General features: G+C 48.2%; 1 protein-coding gene and 1 long non-coding RNA gene across 9 annotated transcripts in view, besides 3 other annotated features; one reads left to right on the top strand and one right to left on the bottom strand.

Annotated features, from left to right (window-relative positions):
• The window catches only part of SIPA1L3 (signal induced proliferation associated 1 like 3), a 301,162-nt gene that overhangs the window by 163,250 nt on the left and 115,959 nt on the right, over window positions 1–21,953 (bottom strand). For 7 of the 8 annotated variants that reach the window (XM_047438486.1, NM_015073.3, XM_017026518.3 and 4 more), the window contains one exon: window positions 15,964–16,031. The gene's annotated coding sequence lies outside the window, so the exon portion shown is untranslated. Of the gene's footprint in view, window positions 1–15,963; window positions 16,032–16,700; window positions 19,776–21,953 lie in introns of those variants that run through there. The other variant, XM_047438488.1, reaches the window with a different exon arrangement.
• Window positions 7,574–8,075: an enhancer, noted in NCBI's record as "H3K27ac hESC enhancer chr19:38527685-38528186 (GRCh37/hg19 assembly coordinates)". NCBI's record gives its function as "activates a minimal SCP1, AML or CMV promoter by ChIP-STARR-seq in primed H9 embryonic stem cells {active_cell/tissue: H9 hESC(primed)}" and the evidence as "EXISTENCE:reporter gene assay evidence [ECO:0000049][PMID:30033119]".
• LOC105372396 (uncharacterized) lies at window positions 18,369–20,169 on the top strand. Its single transcript, XR_001753934.2, has 2 exons — window positions 18,369–18,444; window positions 19,506–20,169. It is a non-coding gene; the product is annotated as an uncharacterized LOC105372396 (long non-coding RNA).
• Window positions 19,200–19,703: an enhancer, noted in NCBI's record as "H3K27ac-H3K4me1 hESC enhancer chr19:38516057-38516560 (GRCh37/hg19 assembly coordinates)". NCBI's record gives its function as "activates a minimal SCP1, AML or CMV promoter by ChIP-STARR-seq in primed H9 embryonic stem cells {active_cell/tissue: H9 hESC(primed)}" and the evidence as "EXISTENCE:reporter gene assay evidence [ECO:0000049][PMID:30033119]".
• Window positions 19,704–20,207: an enhancer, noted in NCBI's record as "H3K27ac-H3K4me1 hESC enhancer chr19:38515553-38516056 (GRCh37/hg19 assembly coordinates)". NCBI's record gives its function as "activates a minimal SCP1, AML or CMV promoter by ChIP-STARR-seq in primed H9 embryonic stem cells {active_cell/tissue: H9 hESC(primed)}" and the evidence as "EXISTENCE:reporter gene assay evidence [ECO:0000049][PMID:30033119]".

The raw sequence follows: 21,953 nt of genomic DNA, 5'->3' as shown, positions 1-21,953 counted from the left end.
AGGTGTGAGCCACTGCGCCCAGCCTGATTATTTGATATCTATCTCCCCCACTAGGTGGTGAGGGCCATGAAGCCAGAATAATGGTAATGATAGGATTTAACTTGTAACAACAGCTCAAGCCTATCAAACACTGATGATGTTTTACAGCATTATCTCATTGATTCCTGACAACAGCTCCATGAGTCAGTATTATTATTAGACTCATTCTCTAGATGGGGATGCCACGTCAGTCCTGTTGGTGGCACCAGGCACTAAGTAAATGGTCTGGGGGGCGCCCAGATGTCTGGGTTATGTTTCTGATTCTCCTTCCCCATCATCATCTGGGGACAGGAGCCCAGGTCCATAGAACACACTTCTGCCATACTCCACAGTGACGACCCCCAATTCCAAGGGCTCCTCTGCGTTCTAACCTCTCCCCAATCCATGAAGACATTAATTTAACACATTTTTATTGTGCAGCTATTGTGTGCCAGGTGTGGCCTGAACAGAGAGAAAGCAACAAACAACACGTGTAGTCACACCTTCACAGGCCTCAACAAAGCCCCGTCTCTCTTGAACCTGCTCCCTTCAGCCTTTTGTGCCTCCCATCTAGCAATCACCTCGGGCCCTCATCAACCTCCTGCCTCACTGCAGGGGTCCATACTCTCCAGGTCTCCTCCCTCCTCACTGGCACTCCCTCCCCAGCCTCCTTCGCTGATTCCTCGCCGTCTCTCCGCACAGCTTCGCTCTTCCCCATCCACACGGCTCTCCTCGTGATTTCAACACCTCTGTGCTGGGGACCCCTACTTTTCCTTCTCCCCCCTGGACCTCTCTCAACTTCAGGTATGCGTATCCAACTGTCTCCTTGCCATCTCACGCAGCTGTCTGACGGGCACCCAGCACCGAACAGACTCAGCCACGTCTCTGATTCTTCACAAGGCCTTCTGCCACTCCCTGCAAACCCCGACCCTGGGGTCCCTCAATGCAGTATCTTCACCCCTCAGCTGGTGTCCAGGCCCAAACCTCAGGGTCATCCTAGCCCCCTCTCTTTCTCTCACCCCTACATCCAGGCCATCAGTACTCACTGTCAGCTCCACCTTCAAGATATAAATGGGCTCACCCCTCCTTCACACCCCCACAGGCAGGACCATGGACCACAGCAGGAGCTTCTGCCCCAATTTCCTGGCTCTGGCTCCTGCTGCCACACACAGCCAGAGGGACTCTATTAATCTATGGGTCAGATCATGTCCTTCCTCTGCTCAGAACCCTCCCCCTATCCATGTAAGGAAAAGGCCCCAGTCCCTAGCAGACCTCCTGTGGAACTCTCTGACCTCAGCTCCTCCGTGCCCTCTTTTTATCGTAGCCACTGAAGCAGGTGTGTCACGGTATCTCACTGTGATTATCACTCGCTTTTCCATGATGATGATTACGGATGGTGAGGTAAGCACTTTAACTAGTAATAGTAGCAACAGTAAATGGTTAACATTGACACAGCATTTACTATGTGCCAGGTACTAGGCTAAGTGCTTTCTTCATATATACGGTGGCATGATCCCTTCCTAAACCTCTTGGGCCTGATGTGTTTCGGAATTCTGAATAATTCAGATTTTAGAAAGGCAACCCTAGAAGGTTCTGAGCGAACAGTGGTAGACTATCACATCGATATTTCTGCAGTGATAACAAGACATCAGCTTGGATCACATTCCACCTGGGACTGTGGATCTGCTTTTTTCTTTCTTTCTCTCGCTTTTTCTCTATTTCTTTCTTTCTCTTTCTTTCCATCTAACTATTTATTTATTTTGAGATGAAGTCTCGCTCTGTCGCCCAGGCTGGAGTGCAGTGGTGTGATCTCAGCTCACTGCAACCTCCGCCTCCCAGGTTCAAGCGATTCTCCTGCCTCAGCCTCCCCAGTAGCTGGGATTACAGGTATGCACCACCATGCCTGGCTAATTTTTGTATTTTTAGTAGAGATGGGGTTTCACCATGTTGGCCAGGCTGGTCTCGAACTCCTGACCTCAAGTGATCTGCCCGCCTCGGCCCCCCAAACTGCTGGGATTACAGGTGTGAGCCACCGTGCCTGGCCCATGGATCTGTTTTAAATCCTTGAATGCCCACAACCATATTATGATGTAGGCAGCATTATCTCTTCTGTTTTACAGATGGAGAAACTGAGGCACAGGAAGGTAAGTGCTTTGGCCATGGTCATAGAGGTAGAAGGGGATGGCTGAGATTCCAACACATTCCAAAGGCCATCTTTACTACTGGCTTTCAGGGTAGCTGACAGGAAATATATCAATGTCGAATGAATGAATGAATGAGGTCAAGCTGGGGATGTGAGAGAACTAGTTACAGCTCACGCAGGAAGGTCAAACACTACTGAGCTAGCTATTTGTGAGTGGTTAACTTCATTTATTTTGGATAAAAGATGTAACCAAAGATAAAGCAAGATATGCCCAAAATATTATCCTTAGAAAATGTAGCTATATTTCAGGGTCTTTCACTTTATTTTATTTTGGAACAAGTGCTCTTTGGGAAAGACATATTAGCTTTTAAAAACTTAAATGATGCTAGTTTGGGCAATAATAAAAAGGGAGGCATATACTATAGGAGACTTGTTAAGTATTCCCAAGTATTCACAATTCCAAGTGTGATAAGTCACTGTAAACATGCTCTTTAAGCAATCTTAAAATTTATATATAGCCACAAAAAAACCCCAACTAGCCAAAGCAACACTGCGAAATAAAAAGTTGGAGGCATCACACTTCCTGATTTAAAATTATATTACAAAGCTATAGTAATCAGAACAGTATGGTGCTGACATAAAAACAGAATAAAATAGCCCAGAAATAAATCCAAACATAAGTGGGAAATAAGAATGAAACTGAGCCTTTCAAAGAATGAAATCTTATACCATACACAAAAATAAACTCAAAGAGGATAAAAGACCTAAATGTAAGATTTGAAACCATAAAACTCCCAGAAAAGAACATGGCGGAAAGCTCCTCAACATTGGCTTTGGCAATGATTTTTTAGACATCACACCAAAAGCTCAGGCTACAAAAGCAAAAATAAATAAACGGGACTACATCGAACTAAAAAGCTTCTGCACAGCAAAGGAAACAATCGACATAACAAAAAGTCAACCTATGGACTGGGAAACAATATTTGCAAACCACATATCTGACAAAGGATTAATATTCAAAATTTATGGAGAACTCTTACAACTCAATATTAGAAAAAAATAACCAAGTAAGAAATTAGCAAAGGGCCAGGTGTGGTGGCTTACACCTGTAATCCCAGCACTTTGGGAGGCTGAGACAGGAGGATCACTTGAGACTAGAGTTTGAGACCAGCCTGGGCAACATAGTGAGACCTGTCTCTATAAAAAATTTAAAACTTAGCTGGCCGTGATGGCTTGTGGCTGTAGTCTCAGCTACTTGGGAGGCTGAGGCAGGTGGATCACTTGAGGTTAGGAGTTCGAGACCAGCCTGGTAGCCTGGTCAACATAGCAAAACCCCGTCTCTACTAAAAACAAAACAAAACAAAAATACAAAAATTAGCTGGGGCCTGGTGCGGTGGCTCACGCCTGTAATCCCAGCACTTTGGGAGGCTGAGGCAGGCGGATCACGAGGTCAGGAGTTTGAGATCAGCCTGGCCGACATGGTGAAACCACATCTCTACTAAAAATACAAAAATTAGCTGGGCATGGTAGCGTGCGCCTGTAATCCCAGCTACTCTGGAGGCTGAGGCAGGAGAATCGCTTGAACCCGGGAGGCGGAGGTTGCAGTGAGCTCAGATCATGACATAGCACTCCAGCCTAGGTGACAGAGTGAGACTCCATCTCCAAAAAAAAAAAAAAAAAAAAAATTAGCTGAGCGTGTTGGCGGGTGCCTGTAATCCCAGCTACTGAGGAGGCTGAGGCAGGAGAATTGCTTGAACTTTGGAGATGGAGGTTGCAATGAGACAAAATCGAGCTACTGCAGTCTAGCCTGGGTGACAGAGTGAGACTCCAACTCAAAAAAAAAAAAAAAGTAATAATAATAAAATAAATAAAGGTTCCTTTAAAAAGCACGATAGGGGCCGGACACGGTGGCTCACGCCTGTAATCCTAGCACTTTGGGAGGCAGAGGTGGGCAGATCATGAGGTCAGGAGATCGAGACCATCCTGGCTAACACGGTGAAACCCCGTCTCTACTAAAAAAATTCAAAAAAATTAGCTGGGCGTGGTGGTGGGCGCCTGTAGTCCCAGCTACTTGGGAGGCTGAGACAGGAGAATGGCGTGAACCCAGGAGGCGGAGCTTGCAGTGAGCGGAGATTGAGCCACTGCACTCCAGCCTGGGCGACTGAGCGAGACTCCGACTCAAAAAAAGCAAGATAGGGACAAATGATTTTAAGACACGTTTAACCAATTTAAACAAAATACTTCAGTTGAAACTCTTAAATGGGGCATTTCAACTAGAATTTTGAATTTTTTTTAAAAAAAGGATGTGTAATATAGCACTGAAAACTGTCTCAAAGCAAAGTGCCACTGTGGGGGAAGAAAGAACATGGAGAAATTTTCCTAAGTTGTCATTTATTATTCGCACTGGAATGATGAGTCTGATTGACTCACAAACAGGCGATTATATAACCACTTTTATATGTTCACGTTTACTCAGCCACTTACCCATGTTCAGTAACTGTCCTTAAACATCTGAGTTGGTTTTTTAAAAAAACCTAACAGTGAGTGGCTGTAGAGATCACCAATTCCTAAAAGGGGCATTAAAAAAAAAAACTGTCTAATGGTAGAGGAATGGCTTCCTGAGTGTTGGGATACAGTTTCCAGTGACAACATACACAAATTCAAGGGGTGCCACATCACAAATGCTTCAGATGGACGTGGAGACAGCGTACTCTGGAAATACGTGTAGATGACTCAAAAAGTGACTCTTGTAATAAGGATGTCTGTGAAAAGTGTGACTAACACTGTTTTATGACATGTGAGAGGATATACGGAACATTTTGAGTCCAATTTTCTCTTTTTTCCTTGAGACAGGGTCTCCCTCTGCTACCCAGGCTGCAGTGCAGTGTTACAATTATGACTCACTGCAGCCTCTACCTCCTAGGCTCAAGCGATCCTCCCACCTCAGCCTCCCAAGTAGCTGCGACCACAGGCACACACCACCACACTTGGCTATTTTTTTTCTTTGTAGAGATGCGGTCTTGCTATGTTGCCCTGGCTGGTCTCAAACTCCTGGCCTCAGGCGATCCTCCTATGCTTCCCAAAGGGACAGGATTACAGGCGTGAGCCACTGTACCCTGCTGAATTCAACATTTTTGATATCTGGATTCCAAACATGTCACAAAATTAATCAATTAGGAAATACAGAAAGGCAGCTGATTATGTTGTTCAAATCCCTGAATGTTTCAGGTGGGCCTCCAAACTTTTTTTTTTTTTTTTTTTTTTTGAGACAGAGTCTTGCTCTGTTGCCCAGGCTGGAGTAGAGTGGTGCAATCTTGGCTCACTGCAACCTCTGCCTCCCCGGTTCAAGCAATTCTCCTGCCTCAGCCTCCTGAGTAGCTGGGATTACATGCGCGTGCCACCACGTCAGGCTAATTTTTGTATTTTTAGTAGAGATGGGGTTTCACCATGCTGGCCAGGCTGGTCTCGAACTTCTGGCCTCAAGTGATTCACCCGCCTCAGCCTCCCAAATTGCTGGGATTACAGGCGTGAGCCACCATGCCCGACCCCCACCCCCACCACCCCCACCCCCCGCTGGCAAACTTTTTTTCATCTCTTTGGAAAGCTATCGAACCACTTTGTTTTGGGGCACGTATGGCATTTTTTAGGTACAAGTGTTGAAAAAAATCTGGAAGACACACACCAGCTCATAAAAGTGATTATCTTGGGGCATTATGGGTCCTTTGATTTCTTTTTTTAAACAACAAACAAGCATTACTTTGATAATCAGAAATGCAGGCTAGGCAAGGTGGCTCATGCCTGTAATCCTAGCACTTTGGGAGGCCAAGGCAGGTGGATTGTCTGAGCTCAGGAGTTCGAGACCACCCTGGGCAACATGGTGAAAGCTTGTCTCTACTAAAATACAAAAAATTAGCCAGGCGTGGTGGTGCACGCCTGTGGTCCAGCTACTCAGGAGGCTGAGGTATAAGAATTGCTTGAACCTCGGAGGCGGAGGTTGTGGTGAGCCAAGATTGTGCCACTGCACTCCAGCCTGGGCGACAAAGTGAGACTGTGTCTCCAAAAAATAAAAATTAAAATTAAAAAATTAAAGAAATGCAAACAAATAATACAGCTTTATAATGTCGCTCAGTAACTCTAACTGAATTGGTCAAGGGTGAGACCCAGGCCTTGGGATTTCTTAAAGTTGCCAACATAATTCTAATGTACAGCAAGGATGGGAATCATTATTAAACATTTTCCAAATTACACTGTAGAAGATGTTCCTGGGTGTCTTTCAAAAAGAAAAGTGCTCCATAGTCAAAGAAGCGGGTTTCTTTCCTGTAGGATTTCTCAGACTGTAACATGCACATGACTTTTTTTTTTTTTTTTTTGAGACGGAGTCTCGCTGTCACCCAGGCTACAGTGCAGTGACGTGATCTTGGCTCACTGCAACCTCTGCCTCCTGAGTTCAAGCAATTCTCCCTGCCTCAGCCTCCTGAGCAGCTGGGATTACAGGCGCCCACCACCATGCCTGGCTAATTTTTGTATTTTTAGTAGAGATGGGGTTTCACCATGCTGGCCAGGCTGGTCTCGAACTCCTGACAGGTGATCTGCTCACCTGGGCCTCCCAAAGTGCTGGGATTACAGGAATGAGCCACCTCGTCTGGCCTGCACATGACTTTTACATGAGGAAGATACAGTGCACAGTGGACATCTGTGTGTGTCTGCTCAGAACTCCTTTCCAGCAGCCATGCCATTAGCAAGTCCTGTCCACTCTACCTCCAAACCGTACCCAGAACCTGCCCCCTCCTCTCCCTCCATGCTCCTTACCCTGGCCCCATCCTCTGGCATCTCCAGCCTAGACTAGAGCAACAGCTTCCTCCTTACTCTCACACTGGCTTCTATAATTCACTGTCACCAAGGCACGCTAGTGGCAGATCCTTGGGACATGCAGAGTTTGAAAAATCTCCCGCTACCTGCCCTGACACTGCCCAGGGCATCCCTACCTGCCATCCTCTGACCATGGAAGGTGCCTGCTTTAAGATGAAGGCACCGTGACAGACAGTCCCCCAGGCTATTGTTGAGCTGCTGTGTCACCAGCTCACAGGGTCCAAAGAACCCTCAGACTTGGAGGTGGGGGGCCTGACTGCTTAAGTCTGCATGAATGGGGGTTGCCGTTACCTGGAGCCAAAAGCCTCCAATCCATACGCTCCTTATTGTTTTACTCTATTTACTGGTCAGCAGTTTTTTTCACCAGGTAAAAATTATCCTATGTATCTGCCTGGTTCACTGCCTGTGTCCCGCTCCTCGAATGCCAGCTCTGAGAACAGGGATATTTGTCGTCTTGTTCACTGCTGGAACACCCCCTGCCAAAGAGTGGGAACTCAGCATTTGTTAAGAGAATGACTGAGCTCATTTGATTCTTTCAACAGCTCCAAAAGGCAGGTGTTCCAAGTCCCAGCCTCCTCCTCACCGCCAGCCAGACCCGGCACCATCTGCCCCCACCTACCTCTCCCAGCTCTTGACCCTGCAGTTACACAGGTCTTCTTCCAGTTCCTTCGCAGAGTCAAGCTCCTTCCCACGTCCGGAGCTCTGCTGATGCGGTTCCCTCTACCAGGGACTCTCTCCCCATTCCTCGCCCCCACTGGGGGAAGGTCTACTTATCCTTCAGGCCTCCTCCCAAACGTCAGTCCTTATGACAGACGTTCCCTGACCTCTCAAGACATGTCCGGGCTCTCAGATATGCTGTCACGGCCCTCTGGGCTCCTCTGCCAGAGCACTTAGTGCAGACATAATCACACAGCTGTTGCTGTAATTACTTCAATTCTGTTTCCACCACTAAACTATGAGCTCCAGGAAGGCAGGGGGACACCTCTGCATTTCTAGAGCCCTGAGAAGGCCTGGCACACAGTAGGTGCTGCATAAATACCCCACCAGTCCACTGTGGCTATGAGAGTTACTGCTCACTGAGTATCGTATTTCTAGTCCCTTGTAGTTAGGCAGGACCGTGTGACAGTTCTGGGTGCAGGTGGAAGTGAACACGTGGCTTCTGGGCCTCGGCATCTAAGTGCTGCTGTGCACCTCTCCGTCCCCTTCTGCTGTGGTGTCTCTGCAGCCTGTGAGGCTCCAAGACAGGGGCAGGCCGGGATGGGGCGAGTGGGGGGAGCTCCTGTCAGCCTGGGTCCCTGAGGTACAAGGTTAAGCCCTCCCACCTGACCTGCCCATGTCACAAGTAAGAAATGGACATCTGTTGTGTCCAACCTCTAGGATTTCAGGGTTAATTTGTTACTGCAGCAGAAACTCGCCCATCAGAGGCATTCCTGTGAATGAATGAAGGCAGCTAGAAAGCAGAGACACTGTGATCACCGACCGGAAGGTGTGGAGCAGGGAAACGGCCACCAGCCACCCAGCACGGAACTCAGTGAAAGAACAGAAGCGGGGAATGGGCCAAGCACTCCACGGAGCTGCGACTCTGTGCTCCTGAGGGGGCAGATGAAATGACCCAAAGCCTCCACTGCCTTCAGACAGGGCCTGCCTGGGCAGCCCTCGGGACACACGCTCCTTAGGGATCACAGCCAAGTGTCCGTCCCTGGGGACGGGGAAGGAGGCAGTGCTGAAGCCAGCAACACCCTGGAAAACCCTCTTAGCCAGAGGAAGCTGAACCAGCAAGGCTGCATGAAAGGTCTGGGCTAATTCGGGCTGACAACCTTCCCTCCGAATCACCCACTGGGGCTGTGCCCTCCCGGCTCCATCCCAGAGAATAAATCACACTGTCAGGTCTAATTTGGGGCTTGGCTGATGGGCTGAGCAGAGCATCCATGCGTTCTGGCCACAGAGGTCAAGGGCAGCCTACACTCTTGAGGCCAGTGCTGAAAAGTCTCAGGAATGAACAAGAAAGGGGACCAGGAGGCCAGGAGCCATGGGTCTCCAACACACACCAAAGAAACTCCCAACTTGGCCCATGAAATTCCTGGCCCAGGCTTTCGCTGTATGAACTCTGCTCCCAGAACACAGTCCTGCTACACCTAGGCCTGTGCCAGCTCAGGGCTGGGTGCAGGGCGACCCCTCACATGTCTGGTGAATGAATAATCACAACAGCAGCAGCTCACGCTTATTATCTTATAGGCTGTTACTAAGCCACCTAACCTCCAACATGCAGTAAGGGCTAATGAATGCAAGCTGCCACCATCCTCCTCCTCCTCATTATCATCATCACCACCTCCACCACCGCCACCACCATCATCTCATCATCATCATCTCATTATCATCTATTATGCGACTTCTCGTGCCAGGTACTGTCCTAGGTACTTGAAATTCATAATCCCATCTTAATCCTTACAACCACCTTGGGAGAAAATGGAAGCACCCACAGTTAAGCTGCCCATTTAGGGCTAGTCACGGGCTCAGCTATGACTAGACCCCAGGTCAGCTGGATTCCGGAAAGCTGTGCTCTTGGCCACCGTGTCAACCCATTTTTGCTTTCATCTCCCTGGAGAAGCCTGTCCCCAAACTCCAAGTCACCGTTAGGTGCCTTCTTGGGGTTCCCACAGCCCCGTGGCTTCCCCTATTAGAACTCTTATCACTCTGGGTTGTTTACCTGCAGAACTTCCCAACATACTGTATACCAGGGTAAGCCTCGTGCCCAGCAAGAGGAGCAGGAACATGGGAGGTGCCCAATCAATGATGGTTGGTTGGAAGGATGGATGGAGACCCAAGTCTGAATCTTTCATTTTACTGAGGAGGGAAACAGAAGTTCAGAAAGGAGAGCTGTCGTGAGAGTTTCACTGAAGAAAGGCAGGTGGAGAAGATGGTAGAAACGGCTCCTTGATGAATCTCTATTCCACCTCCAAAGCCCAAAAGCTGCTTCCAGGAGCCCTCTTTGACCCCTAGGCTGGGTTAGGCACCTCCACTGGGTTCCCACTCCCCTGGGCTTCCCCGATCACAGACCTGACCACTCTGGGGTCTGAAGGTCTGCTTCCCTCACCGGATGGGGAGCCGCATGAGGGCAGAGCCACCCAGCCATGAGGCTGGTCCAGTCACCACTGCATCCCCACTACTCTACAGGGACGGGCAGGGGAGGCGCATATCAAATGTGTGCGCAATCAACCAGCAGACCTCCAGAGAAAGAAAAGGCTAGAAGGCTCATCCTGGGAAGAATAACTAAAAGCACAGGTATAGTTTGGAAAAAGGGAGGCCAAGAGGGGTTCCCTCAGCCACTTGTAAGTCCCTGCAGGGCTGCCAGGAATAAGACGTGCAGCTGGTGCTCTCCCGAGGACTAGACCTGAACCAGTGGGAGGTAGTTAGTTACACAGGGGCGGATGTGATTCACAAGACAGTTTTTTAATGATCACAACTTCCCCAAAGCAAAACACACTGCTGGGCTCTGCCCTTGCTGGAAGAATTTAAACCCAGGCCAGACAGTGAGCAGCCTGGTCCCCTGTACCCCACCCCCCGCACCCCCGGACCTCTTATGAGGCAACAAAGTGTAGTGGCTAAGAACAGGGGCCCTGGACCCAGGCTGCATGCCTCCCTGTCCCAGCTCCTCTACCTGGCAGGCAGCTTCACCACTCGTGCCTCAGTTTCCTCATCATTACCATGGGGATATCACAGCAGTGACGTCTTAGGGTAGTTACAAGAACTGAATGAGATCATGCACGTGAGGCGCTTACGGCAGGGCTTGGCACAGAGTCAGCACCCATTAATGTTCATTATTACTGCTTTTCCTTCCCCATGAAACCAGGCAGTGCTGGCTGGCCACCCCAACAGATACTCTCAATTCATTTTTTCTCTGGCTTCCTCCTCAGGAAAGGCTGAAAAGTTAAATAACATTTGCCACCTTCCTTGGAGCTAGGGGAGGCTATGCGACATGGCAGCAGGAGCGATGTGTCCATGAGGGGAAAGATCAAGAGAATCAAAGCGGCTCTGCCCTGACACTGCCCAGCCACCAAACTAACACTGGCAGCCAAGCACCTCCAGGTGTGCTGTTGTGAGCGAGAAATAAGCCCTCATTCAATCAAGCTGCAGTGAGCGGGGGTTTCTGTTCCTGAAACTTGAAGACATTCCTGGCCGAATGCACATACCATGATGCAAATGGCTCAAGGCGCACACCCATGGTAATTGTTTGCCAATTTCAGCTCAGGCCCGCTGCTGAGAACCCCTGACCCAGAGGAAAAACAGTGGGTGGCTGAGCCATACAGTGCTTACCAAGCCCAGTCGCTGTGTTCCACCCTTCCTTTTCAGCTGTATCTACTCCCCATCTGTACAATTATTTACATACACGCACACACACACACACACACACACACATACGTATCTCTCTCGCTCTATTGCCCGGGGCTGGAGTACAGTAGCATGGCCTCGACCTCCTGGGCGCAAGTGATCCTCCTGCCATAGCCGTCCGAGTTCCTGGGACTACAGGTGCATGCCACCAAGCCTGGCTATTTAAAACATTTTTTGTAGAGATGGAGTCTCACTCTGCTGCCCAGGCTGGTCTTAAACTCTTGGCCTCAAGTGATTCTCCTGCCTTGACCTCCCAAAGAGCTGGGATTATAGAGTGAGCCACTGCACCCAGCCCTCAAGTGATGTTCAAGCTTTATATATTTAAAAAGAATCCATATCACCACTAAAAATGAAAAATTGCTATCTTTTGCTACAAAGAAAAGCAAACTTAAAAAATAAACACAATGAAAACAAAACATAGTCACAGTCATTCATTATCTGACGTTGCATAATTTGGGTTCAATGGACTGGCAAAAAATTTTTCACTTTCCTTTTCTATTGCGGGGAACATCAGATCTGGCAATACTCAGGGATAAGACTGGCTCCAGCTGAGCAGGGCTGCCCCTTGGAGAGGGAACACATTTCCTTTTCACAGAAACTGTGTTCAGAAGGGAGATGATTTGACTGTGATCTCCCGGATGGCTGTGGATGAATTAGGCTGGGGACCGCCTCACTCCCTCCTCTATTCAGGGCCTCCTCAGAGAGGCCTTCCTTGGCCACCTTGTCCGAAAATTGCCCTGTGAGGCCAGTCCCCTTCCCTGCTTTATTCATCACTATATACTCCTATATACATCCTATGTACACTATATACATCCAACTTATCCTATATTCACTTCTTTTTTTTTTTTGAGACCGAGTCTCGCTCTGTTGCCCAGGCTGGAGTGCAGTGGCGCAACCTCAGCTCACTGCCACCTCTGCCTCTGGGTTCAAGCGATCCTCCCACCTCAGCCTCTCAAGTAGCTAGGATTACAGGTGTGTGCCACCACGGTTGGCTAATTTTTTTGTATTTTTAGTAGAGACGGGGTTTAGTAGAGACGGCCACCATGTTGGCCAGGCTGGTCTTGAACTCCTGACCGCAAGTGACCCGCCCACCTTGGCCTCCCAAAGGTGTTGGGATTACAGGTGTGAGCCACCATGCCCAGCCCTATATTCACTTTTTATCTGTTTACTGTTTTATTCTCCAGTAGGATGTCCGTTCCCTTAAGGTAAGGAGTTTGTTTTTTCATTCCTGAATCCCTAGTGCCTAGAAGCAGATAGTAGGTGCTCAAATGCATATTTGCTGAGTGAAGGAAAATAAATGAATGAACAAACGAAACCTGTTCATGTTCTTTCCAAGTTCCCTAAGGCCCTGGTTACCACGTAGGAAAAGTGCCGTTCTTCCTGCTGTGTGAGAGGCAATGCTAGGAATTTACTTGGAACTTGGGAGCTTTTATCACATGAAAAAGGAATGTGCTAGATTAAAACAAGTATCTATGAGCCCATAGGATATAAATTAGTAACTAAATAAAGAAATAAGGGGGAAGGGACAGGTCTTCCTTACAGAAGAGTTCCAATTAATAAATGTAGATGGAATGAGAGGCACACAAAAACTGCCATCAGGGAAACAGCACAGCAGTAACTGCTGTAGACAAGACCCGGCCACCAATGGATGGTAAAATTAGTGGGTGGAAGTTTGAGGAAAAGCGGGATGTGGGATATTAGCATAGCCTCAAAGTTTCTCCCCAAAGGTAGCATTTTTGTTTTGTTTTAAAGAGACAGGCTCTTGCTCTGTCACCCACACTGGAGTGCAGTGGCACGATCTCAGCTCACTGCAATCTCCGCATCCTGGGCTCAAGCGATCCTCCTGCCTCAACCTCCTGAGTAGCTGGGACTACAGGTGTGCACCACCACACCTGGCTAATTTGTTTCTATTTTATTTTTTTAGAGCTAGGGTCTCACTTCATTGCACAAGCTGGTTTCAAACTCCTGGCCTGGAGTGCCCCAAGATAGCCATTAATTACAAAGGGAAAAGTGTAACTTTACTGTGGAGAAATCTGGCACACAGCAACTTAACCAAGTGATCTAGGTGAACATTACCGGAAATATGATGCATTGATGTCACAGACCCCCACAATGACGCACTGAGAAGGGCATGCTGCCTGTGTGGCACTGTTCCAAATAATGAATAACCTCAATCAGGTCATGAGAAAACATCAGAAAAACCCAAGTTGAAACACCCAACAAAATAGCAGAGCAGTCCTCTTCCAAAGTGTCTGGGTCATGAAAGGCTAGGAAAGACGGAGGAATTGTTCCAGATCGGAGGAGGTTAAGGAGACAAGAAAACCAAATGCAATGTGGGATCAAGAATAGACTCTTGGAAGAAAAAAGGACATCCGCAGAAAAACTGGTGAAATGTGATTAATGTCTGTCATTGAGTTAATCGTACTGGGTTGTGTGAATTTCCTGTTTTGATCACTGTGTTAAGGTTGTATAAGATGGTAACATGGGGGAAGCTGGATGTAGGGTAGACATGTGAACTTTGTAACCATTTTCACAACTTTTTTATAACTCTAAAATCACTTCAAAATAAAAGTAATCAAGAATTGTGCCAGGAAGCATCCTTTGACAGAAATCTGGCCCCTAGCAACTGTCCCACACACAAGCTTCAGGTACCCAGGCAAGACTGCCAGGATGAGGGAATGTGATGAGACCCACTAAACATCCAGGAGAGAGAAACTCCATCCACAGCCACTCAGTTCCCGCAGCTTGGCCGACACGGCTACCTGCATCCAGGGTCTGAATGCCACAATCCTCCCCCTTCCACCTCCCACACCGTTATGGTCTCTTGGTTCTTCAAGGATCAGACAATGGCCCCTCCCAACAAAGCTGGGAATCGTCCAGGAAGGCGTCACTGCAAACTGAAATGACATGCAGCTGGGGGCCCATGCCACTGCTTAGAACCCACCCACAGAAACAAGAGAGAATGTTCACTAGCAAACCAACCCAAACCCAACCCAGAAACCTAAACATAACATATTCAAAACCTATATAGCACAGGTAAGTATTTGCCATATATATATATATATATATATATATATTTGCCACATATATATATATAAAATATGTGTAAATACCCATTACCCATGCCATACATGTGTATGTATGTATGTATTTATTTATTTATTTAAATTTTTAGGTTTTTTTGAGACAGGGTCTCACAGCAGCCTTGACCTCCACCGGTTCAGGTGACCCTCCACTTTAGCCCCAGTGTAGCTGGAACTACAAGTGTGCATCACCACGCCCAGCTAATTTTTGTATTTTTTGTAGAGACAGGGTCTCACTTTGTTGCCCAGGCTGGTCTCCAGCACCTGGGCTCAATCGATCCTCGAGCCTCAGCCTCTCAAAGTGCTGGGATCACAGGTGTGAGCCACCACACCTGGCTCATATTTTTAACCAACAGAGAAACCAGTACATTCACATAGTGGGGCGGTGGGGCTGCTCTGAATCTTGATCGTGGTGGCAGTTTCACAACTGTCTACATCTGTCTCCATTCAAAGAACTGTATACCGGCCAGGTGCGGTGGTTCATGCCTGTAATCCCAGCATTTTGGGAGGCTGAGGCGGATGGATCACCTGAGGTCAGGAGTTCAAGACCAGCCTGGCCAGCATGGTGAAACCTCATCTCTACAAAAATACAAAAATCAGCCGGGCATGATGTCAGGGGCCTGTAATCCCAGCTATTCGGGAGGCTGAGGCCGGAGAATCACTTGAACCTGGGAGGTGGAGGTTGCAGTGAGCTGAGATGGCGCCACTGCACTCCAGCCTGGGTGACAGAGTGAGACTCCATCTCAAAAAAAAAAAAAAAAGAGGCCGAGGTGGGCAGTTCACCTGAGGTCGGGAGTTCGAAACCAGCCTGACCAACATGGAGAAACCCCACCTCTACTAAAAATACAAAATTAGCCAGTCATGGTGGCGCATGCCTAGTAATCCCAGCTACTCCGGAGGCTGAAGCAGGAGAATCGCTTGAACCCGGGAGGCGGAGGTTGCGGTGAGCCAAGATCACGCCACTGCACTCCAGCCTGGGCAACAAAAGTGAAACTCCATCTCAAAACAAAACAAAGAACTATATACCAAAAGAGGGTTTTACTCTATGTAAAGTTTAAAAATTGAATTAAAAAGTAAAGAAAAAATAAAAGTATATGAAATGTATGATATGCTGAGGTATGCTCATGAGCAAAGATCTTCAAAACATACTATTATTGGGGATGGTGGAAGCAAGCCAAGAAGCACTGCATAGCCTGGTTCCTTTTTCTCACACAACGAACCAAAATAAGTGTGTATATGTGCATGTAGGAATGTTTGTGTATGGGAAAAGGTCTGGCAGGGCACCCAGCCAGTGACTGACAGTAATTACCTCTGGGGTAGACGTTAGGCTTGCGGGTGACAGAAGTACAGCGATGCAAACTTTCATTTTTCCCTTGATACTCTTTTTTTAAAATTTTAAAAAAAATAATATGTGTATGAGTTGTAAAATTCTAAGCAAACCAGCAGCCACGCCTTACTCACCCTTAGTGCCTTCTAGACACTAGTGCTCTTGGAGGGTCCCAGGAGAGCTGATGTCAGAGACTGTGCATCTACATGGAGGAAAAAGAAGAGGTTAGGTCTCTGGCCAACTTAAGCCTTCCTGCAGTAATACCCAGCTGTCAGTCACATATTCACTCTTTCAACAAGTATTTACTGAACATGGCTGAGTGTAATCCCAGCACTATGGGAGGCCAAGGCAGGCGGATCACTTGAGGCCAGGAGTTCAAGACCAGCCTGGCCAACATGGCAAAACCCCATCTCTACTAAAAATACAAAAAATTAGCCGGGCGTGGTGGTGGGCGCCTGTCATGCCAGGTACTTGGGAGGCTGAGGCAGGAGAATCACTTGAACCCGGGAGGTGGAGGTTGCAATGAGCCAAGATTGTGCCACTGCACTCCAGCCTGGGTGATGGAGCAAGACTCTGTCTCAAAAAAAAAAAAAAAAAAGTATTTACTGAACACCTGCTATGTGCCAGGCTCCGGGAATACAACCAGGGTTCTCCAAGACAAAGTAGCTGTCCTCAGAGAGCAGACATTCTAGTAGGGGAGGAGGACAATAAACAAATACACAATACAAAGTCACAGAGTGGAACCTTGATGAAACCTAGCGGGGTGACGCCATAGTGATGGGACTGTGACCTTAAACGGAGAGCTCGGGGAAGGCCTCCCGGACGAGGGGACAGAGATGTGAATACATGAGACCACAGATCATGTGACTACCTGGGAAAGAGCCTTCCAGAGGGCAGGAGCAGATGTGGAGCATCTCAGGAGCAGTCAGGAGGCCCATGGAGCTGGCACGGGGTGAGTGAGGGGCAAGCGGTGGCAGGGGGGACAGATGAAGGGCTATTCTAAGGACATTTCCTCAGACAACTGTGAGCAGAGGAATGACAGAGAAATCATACTTGTCCTGGTTTGGAACTTTATATTATTAATTTATGCCTTTGAATATTTAGTATGCTTGTTTATATTTAAGTGAATATTCCATGGATGAATGAATGTCTCCAGGCGGAGAAGGCACTGTCTGTATTGTTCAGCATCACATTCTGGGCACCGGCAGAGGCTGGGCACTAAGTCAGGAGATGAGAGCTGAGAGGGTCTAGAGCTGTCCTATATGCAATGGCCATTCACTAATAACAATCCCTCCCAATGTGCCGGCTCTGTCCTAGCAGACAAGTGCTGACTCATTTCACTCTCCCGATCACCCAAGAAGAAGATACTATTATTACTTTCATGTTACAGATGAGGAAACTGAGGCACAGAATTCATAAGGGACCCACTAGCTGAGGTTGCCCAGTCAGTCAAAAGTATACTAAGCTAGGCACAGTGGTCTATAGTCCCACTAAGCCTATAGTCCCAGCTACTCAGGAGGCTAAGATGGGAGGATCATTTGAGCTCAGAAGTTCAAGACCAGCCTGGGCAACATAGCAAGACCCTGTTTAAAAAAAAAAAAAAAGTGTACTATATACAGCCAGGATGTGAACCCAGCAACCTGGTCCCAGAGTCTGTTTCTGACCACCTGGCTAGACCACACTCTGTCACAATGGTCAATGAAGGCAGTGGGCTGGCAACACCTCCCTGCTCCACTTCCCCAATACCATAATGTCCAAATGCTACCCAAATATCCCCGCCAACCTCAAAGGCCGGTCAGCTCCTCCAGGAATCTCCCAGGAAGGAAGCCTAGCAAGCAGCTAGCTAACACCCCAGGGTCCAGGAATCAGGACAACTTCAATGATCATTCCCCTGGGGTTCCTGGAGAAGCCCAAGGGGGTTCTTAACCTTTCTCATGCCAGGGACTCCTACTGGCAACCTGGTGAATTAGTTGCAGACTCCTCAGAATAATTTCTTTTTTTTTGAGATGGAGTCTTGATCTACTGCCCAGGCTGGAGTACAGTGGCGCCATCTTGGCTCACTGCAACCTCTGCCTCCCAGACTCAAGCAATTCTGCCTCAGCCTCCCGAGTAGCTGGGTTTACAGGTACACACCACCACCCCAGGTAATTTTTGTATTTTTAGTAGAGATGGGGTTTCGTCACGTTGTCTGGGCTGGTCTCAAACTCCTGGCCTCAAGCGATCCGCCCACCTTGGCCTCCCAAAGTGCTGGGATTACAGGTGTGAAACACCACTTCTGGCCTATTAATGCTGTTATATTACAAGATCTAGTGGTGAGTCCAATACCTATAGTGATTTAGAAACAGGTAGGTGTTTAAATGATATTTTGTGATATTTGCAACACTGTAATGTGATATGAGAATATCCGTGATTTCTAGTAGTGACAAAGTCACAGATATTGCTAATCCAATTGTGGTTTATTGCCCTGTGCATAAAAAAATGTTAATTTCAGTTACAGGGTAGCGAAAATAGAGATGTAATGTTTTTCCCAGCCAACCTCGTGACCCACTAATCTTCCATCCTTCAAAGGTCCATGGACCCGAGATTAAGAACCCCTCAACGAGACCCGAAAGAAGGTAAAGGCGGAGCAGCTTCCAAGGGAAAAGAACAACTGGGGAGTGTGGGGGCAGATTCAGCTTCGTGAAGTTAGTATGGGAAGGGGTTCCAGGCGTCGGTTGCTTTGACCCACCCTGCATCTATTTCTCTTCCTCAGTCAGCCCCTTGAACCTCATCTTTCCCACTCAGTCCTATGGGACTCACCCCACCCATGGGTTGTGGGTGGAGGTGGGACTGGTCATATGATCCAAGTCTGGCCAAAAAGCCACTGCACCACCTTCCCTGTTCCCAGCTTCAGAGATGGCCCGGGGTGACCCTGCCACCAAAGCCAGGATGATCAGAGCCAGTAAACACCAGCCCCATGATATATACTGGGACTATGGGGGAAAGAGATGGTTTATTTCCCTTGGAGCTGCTAAGTTGGTTGAATCTACTAGTGGAGCTGCTAGGGGCTGCTTCAGAGCCTACCTGAGAATAAAATCAGCACAGAAGAATGCTGAGCCAGGAGGTAAAAGGAAACATGTCCTGACAACCTCACCAGGCCCTGGATCCAGCCTTGCCTGAAACCATTCCAAGCCGAATCTCCCAGGCCCTGTGTCCATCCACTTCCTTTTAGACTTCCTTTTGACCTGAATTTCTATTTGTTCATACAACCAAATGACTCTCAACTAACACAGAAGGGCAGAGGCAACTGCTGTTCTTGACGATTCCCATAGCTCCCTACCAGGCCATTTAGCAAAGTACAAAATAAAATTAGAAACAGTCACTATACATAGAAACAGCAAATACAGAAAAACACGCTTTTAAAACACTCAGAAATGGCCTCTTGGGCCGTTGCTATTGCTAAGCTGGTCTAGGAAGCCCTCACAATGGTGGTTTTCAAGATGCTTGGCAGGGCAGGAGGGAACCAGACGCACCCAGAACATTTTCCTTTATCACTAGACTTCCCATTTTAAAAATTCCTGGGATGATCAGAAAACCCCTGCAATAAAGCTCTTATAAAATTTTAATAGCCGCCTTTTAAATTGCAACGGAAATTGCTTTCCCGCCACTCTAATTTTTCTCCTTTCTTTCTCTAAAGTGATGCATATGGCTCTATAAAGGCTGATCAGCAGCGATGTGCCGTGGTGCCAAGTCTCTCTCAGCCAGGAACCTACTTCCTGCCGACTAGAGGGAGCTGCGGATGCCCGTCGCCCTGCAGTCCCTCATGCAGGAGAGAGGAAGATGCCAAAGGGCCGTGGAAACGGCAGCAAAGGAGGGCTACAGATCCGGGAATCCAGCCAGTACCCTGCTTATCCCAGGGCCCCACTTTCTACCACCTGGGAAGGGACGATGACCTTCAGTTTGCCTCCACAATCCCAGCACACTCATGGCCATGACCCATTCATCACACAGGTGACATACAGGCCGAGCACTTCACTTCCTGCAGGTTTACAGCAAGAACAGAATCCCATGAGATAATGTAAGGGGGAAAGGCGTCCTGGCCTGAATGTCTCCTCCCCTCAGCCATAGGGATTGGCTCTGGGAGAGACACGTGAGCCAAGCACGGCCAATCAGAGTGGGCCCTGGACATTTTGCTGCAATTTCTGACGGAAACAGATGGGTGGTAAGGCAGGGGGACTGCTGAGGACTTCTTTGCCACCTGAGGGTGAGCAGAGGTGGGGCAGGAGGAAGGGGCCGAGAATTAAGTTAAACCTGAGAAAGGCAGAGTCTGGAAATAAAGAGGGGTAAATTCCTGATGAGAATACCTGAGTACTGACTCCAGCTGGGCCAGCTCTGGGATTTTTCAGGTCCCTGAACCATTAACTTCCCTTTGCAGTTTAAGTCAATTTGAGTTGGGGAGGTTCTGTCGCTTACAACAAACTAACAGCACAGGAAGGGACCTGAGGAATCAATACAGCACTCCTTCATGTTTGGGCGAACATGACCCTTCTAAGAAGCTGACGAAACAAAACTATGTCATGTCCCTCCAGGAAAAAAAGCACAAAATACTGCCTGTCTCAAAGATGTCAAAGAATTCTGAAGCCCCTGTCCGTAGGAACTAAGTGAAGAATGCTTTGATCTAGTCTGACTTGTCTGTCCACTTGGTGGAAAAGCAAACTGGGGTCCAAAATGCATAAATGACTTATCTGGGGCCCAGGGCCAGCTGGGGGGCAGTGCCGGGCTCCCCGAGACCCCCAGGAGGTTTCACCTTGAACTCCCCTGAGTACAGTCCTCCGAGGAGACTGCAGAGGGTAAAGGAAGGCTGCAAGCGAGGCTCCAGGCCCCACACCCTCATCTCACCTCCGGCAGCTCCATTTTTTCCTGCTTTATAAAACAGGCCTACAAGGAAGTGTCTGTCAAAAGTTCCACAAGACCATAATCAACATACTGAAAACCAGTCTTTCATATGACATTTCAGAACACTTACATGTTAATGACCTTGATTTCAACCCTCATGAAACCCTATGAAGCAGGCATTATCACCATGGCTCCAGGTGAGCTGTTTCTGCTGGGCTGGCCAGGTCACTTCTCCCCTGACCTCAAGGCTGGCTGGAGCACCTGCCCTTTCTTGTTCCTGGACCTGTACTTCTGGGCCAGGATTTTCTACCCCACCCTCGTATTTCCACCTCAATTCACATGGAAAGGATCATCCGCTCATACCTCTTCACTCCCCTTTACCTCGTCCACCCCCCTCCCCCTCCCCAAGGAAGAAGGGCTGGCCAATCTAACCGGCCAGAGATTGCAACTGTTGCTGGCATCTGCTTCCAAGTGGGCAGATTATTAGCCTGCTGGGCCCAGGCCTACCAGCTCTTTTCTCTGTGTCCCAAGACGGCAGGAGGTTCTCTTCTGTTTCTGTCTTGGAGCAGAATAAACACCCTGGGCAGTGTCTACCCAGCCTCTAAGAGGGCCTGGCCACAGGCACTCTCTCTTGACTGAGTGGTGATGGGGGACAGCCAGGCCTTTCTCTTCTGTGCCGCTGTGTAAGTGGCTGGTCTGGAAGAACCAAACCCACTGCAGCCTTTGCTGTAAGCTTCGCTCTCCTTTCTAGACCGCCAGAGCATCACTGTGGCATCAGGGATTACTCAACTACTAATAAAGTGGTTCAATCATCCTTCATTTAGAGAAGATTCCCATTATACCCATCCCTGTCCAGTCTTTGAAATAATGACTTAGGGAAATATCTGTTCATTCAGCTGCCTCTAGCCTACATCCCAACAAAGAAAAGCTGATAAGTGAGGAAAGGACTTTGCCTTGGGAAAATCTAGGCCCTCAACAGCCACTGAGATCATCTTGCAATTAATCATGTTTCCTCTTATGACCTATATTCTATTAATAGCACACAATAATGATTTAGCGCTGGTTCTTTTGCGGATTGATGCGGTCTACAAACACGACTAAGGTTGGGTCACTGACTTTGAGGGTCTCTTTCTCATTTCCTGTACCCCCTGACCCCCGGCCCCACCGCCTCACCCTCTCCAGAAGATAGGCGTGCTAGTGTGGTGCTCTGAACACACAGCTATGAGGATTTCACTGTGCTGGGGGCCCC

The sequence above is a fragment of the Homo sapiens genome, chromosome 19 (genome assembly GCF_000001405.40).
Source record: "Homo sapiens chromosome 19, GRCh38.p14 Primary Assembly".
NCBI lineage: Eukaryota > Metazoa > Chordata > Mammalia > Primates > Hominidae > Homo > Homo sapiens.
This window is presented reverse-complemented; position numbering and strand designations above follow the sequence as displayed.